The sequence below is a fragment of the Homo sapiens genome, chromosome 9 (assembly GCF_000001405.40).
Source record: "Homo sapiens chromosome 9, GRCh38.p14 Primary Assembly".
NCBI lineage: Eukaryota > Metazoa > Chordata > Mammalia > Primates > Hominidae > Homo > Homo sapiens.
Genome location: NC_000009.12, coordinates 68560129 through 68572658, shown reverse-complemented (window position 1 = coordinate 68572658; position 12530 = coordinate 68560129). Strand labels below are relative to the sequence as shown.

At 43.1% G+C, this 12530-nt stretch overlaps 1 long non-coding RNA gene across 1 annotated transcript in view, besides 1 other annotated feature; it reads right to left on the bottom strand.

The window, feature by feature from the left end:
* Window positions 1-12530, bottom strand: part of TMEM252-DT (TMEM252 divergent transcript) — a 103426-nt gene that overhangs the window by 71792 nt on the left and 19104 nt on the right. The window lies entirely within an intron of this gene.
* Window positions 9719-10253: an enhancer, noted in NCBI's record as "OCT4-NANOG hESC enhancer chr9:71177322-71177856 (GRCh37/hg19 assembly coordinates)". NCBI's record gives its function as "activates a minimal SCP1, AML or CMV promoter by ChIP-STARR-seq in naive H9 embryonic stem cells {active_cell/tissue: H9 hESC(naive)}" and the evidence as "EXISTENCE:reporter gene assay evidence [ECO:0000049][PMID:30033119]".

Sequence of the window (12530 nt, the reverse complement as noted above, 5' to 3'; positions counted from 1 at the left end):
TAACACTTGGTGTCTAAACAAATAGAAAACCAGTTCGAATAAAGTCTTCTTGGGCATTTGTCTTGAGTTCAAGTCATGCTCACCACTTAACAGCTAACATGGTTTGGCTTTGCGTCCCCACCCAAGTCTCATGTCAAATTGTAATTCCCAGTGTTGGAGGAGGGGCCTGGAGGGAAGTGATTGAATCATGGGGGCGGACTTCCCCACTGCTGCTCTTGTGATAGAGTTCTCAGCATATCTGGTTGTTTGAAAGTGTGTAGCACTGGCCCCCCCACTTCTCTCTCTCTCTCTCTTCTGCTGGCCATGTGAAGATGTGCTTGCTTCCTCTTTACCTTCTGACATGATTGTAAGTTTCCTGAGGCTTCCGCAGAAGCAGAAGCCTGTACAGCCCGCAGAACCTATTAGCTGATTAAACCGCTTTTTTTTTTTTAAGTATCCAGTCTTAGGTATGTCTTTATAGCAGCATGAGAACGGACTAATACAACAGCCAACTGAATTTCTTCTTAACTCATCATCATCAATATAAGACTCCAGAGTGCGAGCACACATATGGATTTCTGAAGCAGGGGCTTGTGTAGTGATCAGAACGGGGCTTTTGGCTTCAGACAGGCCTGGAGGTGATTCCTGAATTTGTCATTTACCAGTTCTGGGAAATTGGGAGTCACTTAAACCAAGGCTGCTGCATTGTGCTCCAGAAGGTTCCATTTACATAGAAAACAAAGTAAATAATGTTCCCTGTAGTTGTACAAGGCCATGACCCTGATTTAAACTTTCTGAACCTCAGTTTTCATATCTGTAGAAAGGGGAGAATAATAACGCTTGGAATGGTTACAGAGATTAAATGACAGTGCTTGTAAAGAGCTTACTTAACACAGTTGGCTGGTCCATAGCAAGTGCTCAAGAAATGGTAGCAGTATTGAGGATGATGACAATGGTTCCTACTGGAAATTATGAATTCTTTTGAAGGAGAACTGGTCTGCATGGTCCTTTCCAGTTCCAGTTCCAATGCTGTGATCAGAGATGCTTCTATTTAACAAAGGCAACATGGACTTTTCACCTTTATTATTGTTGTTACTATTATTACTATTTTCTCCGGGGGACCTTGATGAAAAGTTATTACTAATAATACAATAATTCTCGTTATTTAACTTTTGTCAAAGAGACCCATTCATGATTTTTCCACTCTATAAATAAAAATCACATCTTCTTTGAAGTGGGCAACTTTCGTAGTACCATTTCTTGGGGACATCAAGATCCAGTACCTTACTGATATGCCTCAGAGGGTGTTTTCCCTCCAAGGACATATTGCACTGGAGATTTTTAGGATATAAACATTTATCAGTTATCTACCTGGGGAGCAAACAGGTTGTTGTTGGAAAAGTCATGCTAGGCAGAAAATCCAATTGGCTAGATAAAAATATAATCAGAGAAGCAAGAAGTTAAGAGACAGGAGAATGATGTTCCAAGGACTGGGAAGAAGTTCAGAATTCTGTCTCTTGAAGAAATTGTTCAGCACTGTGTCCCTGAGTTGCAGGTGTGCAGTAGCAATTTATTTCCAGCCTAAAGACCACTGAGAGAATAGCAGATTGGGAAGCCAGACCACCTGTCTAGTCCCAGCCACATCTCTGAGTATCTCTGAGGCCTTAGCAAATCACTGAATCTCTTCGTCTACAAAATGAGGGAGTTGGATTAGCTCAGAATCTTATCAAAGTATTGTTAAGCCACGAAGTCTGATACGGTTTGGCTCTGTGTCCCCACCCAAATCTCATCTTGAATTGTAGCTCCCATTAATTCCCACATGTTGTGGGAAGGACCCGGTGGGAGATAACTGAATCATGGGGACAGTTTCCTTCATACTGTTCTTGTGATAGTGAATAAGTCTCACAAGATCTGATGATTTTATAAAAGGTTTCCCCTTTCGCTTGGCTTTCATTCTCTCTCTTGCCTGCCACCATGTAAGACGTGACTTTTCTCCTCTTCGCCTTCCACCATGACTGTGAGGCCTCCCCAGCCACATGGAACTGTGAGTCCATTAAACCTCTTTTTCTTTATAAATTACCCAATCTCAGGTATGTCTTTATCAGCAACATGAGAAGAGACTAATACAGAGTCCTTTGTTAAAATAAATTTTATGAGAATATTCAAAAGAAAATCAAATACACACAAGGGTGCTCAGTGGAAGTTGGGCTGGTGACTCCAGACATTCACTCTACTAACTTCTTACCTCTGGCAGCTGCAGAGGGAAATTGGAGGAAACCCAGGGGCTCCATGGAGCACGGATTCAAAACCACTGAACTGAATGAAGTGCCTTCCAGCTCAAACACTTCATCTCTACCTTTGATGTATTTCCTCAAAGGAATTGTCATATATGGCACTAAGTTCCATAAAGTTTTATTCCTCAGAATCCTTTATAGAGCTCTTTTATCTTCTGACAGCTCTGCATGGAAGCCATTATTAAGCTAACTTTGTTCGTGGGCAAATTTTAAATCTATTTGCCCAAGGCATTTGACAGAGACACAATCAGGGCCAAACTGAAAAGCAGCAAGCTTTGCCTTTGGTACCCAGACAGAAATAAGAGACTACTTTTAACTTTTGTTTCCACTGTCAGTCCTGTAACTCATCATGCAGATTCCATTTGAGTTATCATGGTTTTTTTTTGTTTGTTTTTGGTTTTTGATGTTGTTTAATTCTAGCTTCCACATAACTGAGTTTTCAGAGCTAGAAACCATATATGGTGAACCAGCCCTCATAAATGTTACACAATTTTATGTATTAGCTACACAGAAGTTGCTGAAAAGCCTGAAGGGAAAGCAGATGGTTAAAAAAATACTCTTGTCTTTGTGAATTTGGGGAACTTTGCTATGAGAAATTACAGATTATTATTTTCCTTGTTATACCTTTAGTCAAACAGATGGCATGAGACAGCGAACAGGAATTCTACACAGTTTCCATGGCAATTGTTGGAGAGCCCTGGCCTATTTGTAATGATGTGTAGTGTAGTATCTAGGGCAAAGGTGAAATTGTGGGGTTTCATTCTGCAACACCTACTGATTTTAAGCCATTCAGATGACATTTGTTGGGTTCCCATTGCCTAAAAAGCAATGTCCTAGTTATTGGGGGTCGGGTGGGGAAGAAGATATCAAAGAAACTGAAGCATTGCCTTTTCTTTATAGACATTTGCTGTATTGAGTAAACTACATATGAATAACATAAGAACACTATACAAGATATAATGAAACCAGTAAATGTGTCATTAATATAGGATTTCTTTCTTTAAACAACTGCTGTCCAATTAAGCAGTGGCCAAACCACAATCCTTAAAAACTGGGTGAATTATCAGCTTTACTTGTGGACTATGTAAGAAGTATTATAGCCCTATGGCCAAGAGAACATGTTCTGAGCAGACTGTCTGTGTTTAAATCCCGGTTCCGCTATTTATTAGCAGGGTGACCCTGTATTAGTTGTTGAACTTTGCTGTTTCTTGGTTTCCTCATCTATAAAAATGGGACTGACAATGGTATTTAGTTCATAGAGTTATTAAAAGAATAACATAAGTTAACTGGGCATGGTGGCTCATGCCTGTAATCCCAGCACTTTGGGAGGCTGAGGTGGGCAGATCACCCGAGGTCAGGAGTTTGAGACCAACCTGACCAACATGGTGAAACCCCGTCTCTACTAAAAATATAAAATTAGCTGGGCACGGTGGTGCATGCCTGTCATCCCAGCTACTTGGGAGGCTGAGGCCGGAGAATCGCTTGAACTGGGAGGCAGAGGGTGCAGTGAGCCGAGATGGCGCCATTGCACTCCAGCCTGGGAAACAAGAGCAAGACTCTGTCTCAAAGAAAAAAAAAAGAATAACATGAGTTCATTCATGAAAAAAGCTTAGCTCAGGGTAGGTAATCAGTAGGTGTTGAGTATTAGCAAGAGGTAAAATCCCTCAATGTAAGTTCCTTCACTGATTTTCAAAAGGCAAGACGCATCTGAGCTGAAGTAAAGAAAGAGCAGAGTGGTTAAGATGATACTGTTATCTAGTTGACAAGCAACTTAATCTCTCTGAGCCTCAGTTTCCTCATCTGTAAAACAGAGACTACTATACTCACCTACTATAGTCACCTCATGGAGAGAAGATGGACCCCTCACCGAAGATTTGGCTTGGATGTTGGGACTAATGATCACACACACACACACACACACACACACACACACACACACAAGGTGTGAAAAGCTTTATATTTCACACAGTAAGGCTTTCGGGGGGAAGTAAAGTGAGCTTCCAAGAGGTCCAAGAATGGTTTAAGGGAGTGGGAAACGGAGGCTGGCCTTGGGGTTTTGTGGAGGTGGGAGAGTGGGGCTGGGCGAAGCTTCGCTCTTGCAGCTGGGTTTACATGGATGGGATGTCCCACCAGCACCACAGGAGGGCGCACCTGTGCTCTTTCATCAGCTTGCCCAGATGTGGGGCAGAAGTGGGAGGGTTTGGTGGAGTTTGAAAGCTTTCATTGGCTAAACATCAAAAATGCCGGTGATTCTTTATCACACCTCCATAGAGCTTTGCTGTGAGGATTAAATGAGATTACACAGACTCTGTCTTTAATTTAGTAGCTGGTAAACAGTAAATGCTCAATAAATGTTACCCTGTGAAATAAACTTTTTTTCTTAAAAAACTTCAACTTTTAAAATGTCTCCTAAAAAATACAAGAAGCAACACCTGCTTTTTCTTTGCTCTACTTGTTTATACTAGATTTGTTTTGAAACTTCAATATAATCTCTACATGTGAAGAAAAAATTACCAGCAGTCCCCCAGCGATGAAAAGGCTGTGTACTAAGCATTCCGTTTTAAATTGATTGTCACTTGGAACACTCTTTCCCATAGAAACAATGTTATAAATAGAGTTAAGTTCCCAGAGGGACCCACAAATTCTTCTTAAAGTGTAACATAGCTAAAATAGTCCTTGACAGAGCAGGAAACTGAACCCTAGATCACCACCTGGGCCTCTCAGAATCCCAGACTCCACTGGCTCAAGGTGACCCTGGGTGAGACTCGACCCCAGGATTTGTGAAAACCTTGACAAAGAGAAGCTGGCTGAGTAGGATCTGAATTGAGCACAGTGTGTTTGGTGGGACCCCACTGGCAGTGATGACTGCACTTCCCAGCAATCCCTAAATTGGACTCTAATGGGATCATCTTGTTGAGCCTCAGATCTGTCCCACAGCCCTGTGGGTGGAGTGGGGCTTGTCCTTAAGGGAAGGGAAGCTCTTATTCCCAGCCATCCTAGGAAGAGGTCAATCCAAAGGCAAGAAATGAACTGTGGTGGGCCTTAGCCTAGGGTGAGGGGACAACATGGTCCTTTTTCCTGGAGTTAGGGTCTGAGGCGTGGGGAGGCCTGGAGTGGGTGGTTGGGCAGAACTGACTCTGGTTACAGGGAAGATGCCAGGACCATGTCATGAGCCAGCTCAGGAACCCACCCTAAAATGGATGTGGGCCTATGTCAAGGAGGAAAGTTATTTTTTGGTGCTATCTCTCTAGTTTCTACCTCCACGTGCAATGGCAGAGCTTGGCTCTTCTGAGGTGTGGGGAATTATGGGAGGTGAGGTTGGGTGGAAGAGATGTCAGCAGCACTGTGAAAGAGGGGATCTGAGGATGGAAGATGGTGAGCTTCAGAAGGGAAGAGCAGCAGTGTTAGCCCAGCTGAGGAGGCAAAGGACAGCAAGGGCACACCTGCAGAAGCAGAAAAACATCAGCACCTCACACAGCACTTACGATGTACCAGAGACTTTTCCAGGCATTTTATAAGCATATTCAAACCTGTTAACCACCCTATGACACATTATTAGTACCCCCTTTTACAGATGGGGAAAATGAGGCATGGAGAAGTTAAATAACCTGCTCAATATCAGACAGCCAGTAAGTGACGGAGCCAGTAATTAAGCATTGGCAACTTGCCTCCCGAGGCTGGGGTCTTAACCAAATAATTTATTCTCTTCCATACACAATCATTCACCAGGGACAGCCCCAGAAATATTAATACATGGAAAGGCATTGAATAATACACAAATGAAGTTAGTGAATTAGGGCTTTTTAACACAGCAAGTTCTATGTGTATAAAGTATATGAGGCAAACAATAAAACCCCTTGTCAAATCTGAAAATTTCTAAATAACTTACTTTATGTTTAGGAGTACTGTTGTCTTACAGGCACTTCTGGCTGGAATATACATCTTTATATATCTAATGTTTCCATGTATCTATCTTTTTAAAAACACACTCAAGGGTCTACATGCATGTCTAACTGGTAAGGATTTTCTTTTTTAATAATCATCATCTGGCTGGAATTTTTAACTAAACCCATGTCAGTTGAGTGATATTATGTTTTTGTGAAAGCATTGTCGAGAGGATGTCTAGAATAGTTCATTATTAATGTTCCTCTGACAACATGCCACAAAGGATTTTAGAGAAAGACTTTTGATGCTCATTCTCTTAAAACCATTTTCTTTACCTACTATTCATATAAACACCCATCAAAAGCCTCATATTATTTCATTAACTGCAATCTTGTTACTCAATCTTTCAGTAACCAGTAATATAAGTCATGAGGCGACTTGCCTACTTGTTAGAACCAATTTTTTTTTTTTTTTGAGACGGAGTCTCGCTCTGTTGCCCAGGCTAGAGTGCAGTGGCGTGATCTCGGCTCACTGCAAGCTCCGCCCCCCGGGTTCAAGCGATTCGCCTGTCTCGGCCTCTCAAGTAGCTGGGACTACAGGTGCCTGCTACCACGCCCGGCTAATTATTGTATTTTTAGTAGAGATGGGGTTTTACCATATTGGCCAGAACTCCTGGTCTCGAACTCCTGACCTTGTCATCTGCCTGCCTCAGCCTCCCAAAGTGCTGGGATTACAGGTGTGAGCCATGGTGCCTGGCCAGAACCAAACTGAAATGTAATATCCCAGGTCGTAAGTTCAGACTTTACTTCCTCCTGTCGTTTCTGCACCCAGAGGTGATGGTCTGAAGAAGAAAGTCCTTTGGAAAAGTGAAAGTTAGCATAAGCATAGAACTTACTTCCACATCAACTGATTGGGTGGTCTATGTATGATAACGATGACAATGCCTGGCACCTGGTAAGCAATTATTTATTACGATTATTAAATCATCAAATGGCTATTATTATTATTCCTTTTGGGGTCAGTGCTCTCTACTTCGTGGCTGTAGAGATTTTTGTTTGTTTCGTTTACTGCAGAATTGCGAGTGCCTCTTAGAGTAGTACCTGTCACATAATAGGGACTGAATAAATATTTGTTGAATATTAGTTAACATAGCTTTACACCAACCTAATCTACTTATGCATGGGGCAATTTGTGGACAGCAGGGCTATCCTTACCTCATTTCCTTTCTTTGATCCCATTTAAGTTCAGGTCTGCCCAAGTCCTGACCTCTGACTATATCCAGTTTTCATCTGTGCTACTTCCTTTTGGACTTTCAAATTAATCCTGATTTCCTTGGTTTGACCATGGTACCCTATAACAAGTGACACTCTGTTCTTTTCCTGCCTGGTTACTTAAGGGAGGAAATCCTGCCCTACCTCTCACCTTGAGAACAAACTCTACCTCCAGCCTCACTGATTTTTTTCAAATATTTATCAACTACGTAGCAGGCAATCTGCTAGGCTCTGGGGACACAATGAAGAAGAAGAAAGGCAGGTTCCCTAGCCTTTGTGGGATTGGGCTGTAATTTGTTTTCTTAATATATTAATACCCAGAGGTGGGAAGGAACAAAGCCAGGTTCATCCAATGAACAGGTTGCAGAGCCATGAAGAGAGAGAATACGGCCACACTGATTAGGCACCCAGCCTGGCTTCCTGACAAATAGCCTCACCGAAGCAAGTGACCCCCTTACCACTACCCTCTCTCCTCTCTCTCTCCTCGCTTGTGTTCCAGCTGCACCCCTTTCCCATTCTGAATTGTCCAGGTTATGTGTCATGGACCATGATAGAATGACTCATCTTTTCAGAGGGCACCCATCTGCATCAGATTCCACATCTTGGGTTGCTATGTCTTGAGTTGCTAAAATAAGAATCAGAATGTTTCTTATTCTTTGCTCTCTGTGAGTCAAGCCTTGGCCACCAGAAAAGCCCTGGTTGCCCTAAAGAACTTGGAGTCAGCCGGTCACAGTGGCTCACACCTGTAATCCCAGCACTTTGGGAGGCCGAGGCAGGTGGATTACCGGAGGCCAAGAGTTCAAGACCAGCCTGGCCAACATGGTGAAACCCCGTCTCTACTAAAAATACAAAAAACATTAGCCAGGCATGGTGGCACATGCCTGTAATCCCAGCTACTCAGGAGGCTGAGGCATGAGAATTGCTTGAACCCAGGAGGCGGCAGTTGCAGTGAGCCAAGATTGCGCCACTGCACTCCAGCCTGGGTGACAGAGTGAGACTCTGTTTCAAAAAAAAAAGGAGAACTTGGAGTCAGTAGGGCAAAATTGTCCTTCTTTGACCTAGAAGGCTATTGTGTTTATGTTCCTCAGGATGCAAAGGGAAGATGAAAAAAGGAGCTAATGATCATTCTACATTTACTTGTGTCTACGGGCACCTTATGAAAATTACTTTTAGACAGATGCTATGTCTTTCCCCTAAACTAGTGGTTCTACAACATTACAGAATGCCCTGGAAGGCTTGCTAACATACAGATGGCTGGGACCAACTCCCAGACCATTTTTTTGGGTTTTTTTTTTTTTTTTTTTTTTTTTTTTTTTTTTTAGATGGAGTCTTGGTCTCTCGCCCAGGCTGGAGTGCAGTGGTGCAATCTAGGCTCACTGCAACCTCTGCCTTCCGGGTTCAAGCGATTCTTGTGCCTCAGCCTCCCAAGTAGCTGGGACTACAGGTGCATGCCACCATGCCCAGCTAATTTTTTGCATTTTTAGTAGAGATGGGGTTTTGCCATGTTGGCCAGGCTGGTCTTGAACTCCCGACCTCAGGTGGTGTGCCCGCTTCGGCCTCCCAACGTGCTGGGATTACAGGCATGAGCCCACTGTGCCTGGCCCAACTCGCAGTTTGTGATTCAGTGGCTCTAGATTCAGTGGAACCTGAGAATTTGCCTTTTAAACAAATTCCCAGCTGATGCTGCTGCTGCCGGACAGGAGACTACATAATCCTCAACAATCCCACTGTTTCCATTGTTCCCTAAATAAACAATCCAGACCTAGCAGGCTTGTATACTTTCTCTTCCATGCCCTTTTGGTACCTTTGTACCTTAAATATCAGGGAGAATGCTGATTTGCTTCGTATACCAGGGACTTAGTAATGCTTTGTCCACCAAATATCTCACACCTGAGACCCCAGGGAAGTTGCGTTTCAGTCTCTGATGACCAACACCGCATACCAAGTTTCTCCTTCCAAAATTGGGTTGGAATGTTGGGTTGTTTAAAGTTTATTCTTATGAAAACCCCATGATAACACAAAAATAAGCTCCACAAACTCTTTTAAAGCTTTTCTTTGACACATTGATTCCACATTGCATTTCCAGAAATTTGTGTGTTTTAGAAGATACCATCAAAGTTTTATCTCATCATAATTATAATCCCTGTGAGTAAAATGCATGATCTAAAAGTCCCAGGACTTTTAAAATTTAAGCTTTGTATCTAGTAAATGAATTATTGAAGCAATCTCTGCAATTTGCGTACTGTTCTCAATTTCCTGTAGACACGTGGGGAGGAGGTGGCAGGGAAGCTTGTTAGAAATAGAGTACTTCAAAGATTTTAAGTTTCTTATAGTAACAAACACAATTGATTACTAAAAAAGAAAGACTGCATGTTAATGACTATACATCACAGTAAAATTTCCCCTTAAACTCTGCAGTTTTACAGAGCAGTATGAAGCTAGGCATAGCCTCTACCAATGTATCTACATTTAGAAGTCTGATGCCCTGGTTGTCTTTGCTTTTACCAGCTGGTCTTTCCCAGAGGCACACAAGAACTGAATTCATGCATTTGCATAAGAACAACACCAGTTAGCACTCATGTAGTGCTGACTGTGTCCTAGGTACTGCTTTATGCCTTCGGGATAGGTCAAGATGGGTAATCCTCACAACCACCTTGTGAGGTAGGTACCATTCTTATCCTGGGGAAACTGAGGCACAGAGATGTTCAGAAACGTTATGCAAGGTCATACTTTCACATTATTTGCCCAGTCAAGTACCACTTTGGCTATTAGGTACTTATTTATTATTTTAGAACTTGACTCCGTTTTTGTTTGTTTGGTTTGTTTTTTGTTTTTGACGGGGTCTCACTCTGTCTTCCAGGCTGGAAGGTAGTGGTGCAATCGTAGCTCACTGCAGCCTTGACCTCCCGGGCTCAGGTGATTCTCCCACTTCCGCCTCCCAAGTAGCTGTGATGGCAGCTGTGCGCCGCCACACCCGGCTAATTTTTGTATTTTTTTGTGGAGATGGGGTTTTGCCATGTTGCCCAGGCTGGTCTCGAACTCTTGAGCTCAAGTGATCCAGCCACCTTGGCTTCCCAAAGTGCTGGGATTACAGGCATTAGCCACTGCGCCCAGCTGACTTGGTTTTTTTAACTTAAGTTTATTTTAAAATGGAATGTCATGTCTCTACTGTAAAAGGAAAATCAGTATCACTGGTCATAAATAGGAGGTAACTATGAAATGGATACAACTAATGAAAAACAATGATATAAATTCTAGCTCGAGGCTGGGCATGGTGGCTCAAGCTGGTAATCTCAACACTTTGGGAGGCTGAGGCAGGAGGATTGCTTGAGCTGAGGAGTTTGAGATCAGCCTGGGTAACCTAGTGAGACCCCATCTCAACAAAAAATTAAAAAGTAGACAGATGTGGTAGCACATGCCTATAGTCCCAGCTACCCAGGAGGCTGAGGCAGGAGGATCACTTGAGCCCAGGAGGTTGAGTCTGAGGTGAGCTGTGATCCTGCCACTGTCCTGCAGCCTGGGCTGCAGAAAGAGAACCTGTCTCAAAAAAAAAAAAAAAAAAAAATTATAGCTTGGCTCTCTTTTTGTTAAGAGGAAGGGAGGAAGGGAGGCAGTGGAGAAGGGCTAGTGTTGTAGGGGTGTTAAAAATATCAAATCCAAAATATAAATACAAAACAAAGAAACAAAATAAAATGAAAATATATATTAATACCAGAGTAAGACTTTCTCCTTAACATAATCATAATGAATGAGAGGTTTCCGAATCTGTTTTTGTCCTTTCTTTGTTCTGTGTCATCTAACTGCCCTGAACCTCACCTCTGTTTTCTATCTGAAAATGCAAACAACTTCAGAGGTTCAGATATAACATATAGCTGTAGCCTGGCACATAGTAAGTGCTCAGTAAGTCATTATGATTAACGGTCGCTTTGTGGGGGCAGACAAAAATGTATGCTGGGTATCTTAGCTCTGTGTTTTATATCTGGGCTCTCACTTGTACTTATTTTGTTCTAGAAGACCAACAGAGGAGAGGTGGGTGGGAGTGACAATACACATTCAGCAGTGACAACAGTGACAAGGCAAAGATGCTTTTAGGGCTGTTGATGTAAGAAATCTGTTCATCTTCTGGGAGACATTAGACACCTATAATCCATATTTCCATGATCCTGGCCCCAGGATCTTAATTTACAAAATTATTATTGGCTTCAGCGCTATCTATTAATTTGCTAAAATGTTTGTAGCCTTTCTTAAAAAAATAGAAGAACATGACTTTCTTGCCAAGCTCTGATTACAGCCATACTCCAAGAAAAAAATCCATACAAAGAGAAAATAATTGTAGTTGGGGCTTTGGTTTATCTCAAGGGAATTTTTACTCCATGAGACAGCGCTTGCTGAGCTGTGTGCTGTGGAAAGTGACCTGGCCTCTGCAGCCCAGCCTCTCCAAAGTGGAAGGGAAGGAGGGCGGAAACAATGCGGGAGGCTGAGCGATAGGTCAAAAACCAAGCCCTGAGTGGTGCAACACAATGCCAAACCCCCAAACTTCCCTCAGCAAGGGGGCTGGGTGGGGTGCCTGTGGCTTGCTCAAGAAGACAGGAGGAAGAGTCAGTTAGTTCTGGCAGGAAAAAACATCATGAAGTTATGTTAGCTGTGATGAAAGTTTTGAGCATGAATTCCTGTGTTCATACTGATTCCTGGAACCCTTCTCAAAAAATGATTTGGATCCTTTTGAGGGAAGCAGTTTTTTTTTTCGCCCCCCTCCCCCGCCGCAAGGGTAACAAACAAGGGCCTGGTTGGAAAGGTTGATGAGTAAGACAGCAGCTGGGTGGGGACCTAGTGAACTCAAGGGCGTGTGACCCTTTCTCAAAAGGCAGCTCATGTGCAGCTCCTGCCAGTTATTACCATGCAGGCACGTGGATGCAGAATTGCAGACAGGCTGGTGGTGAAGCGACTGTCTACCCTCCTACCTGCTGCTCCATAACGCTGGGGCTTTCGTGTTAGATTCTGCCAACAGGGGGCACCAGAGAGAGATCGGGTGGCAGGATTGTGGGAGAAGGGACTTACAGCTTCGTATGTGGTTGCCAGACCCACCAGCATGACCCCGGTA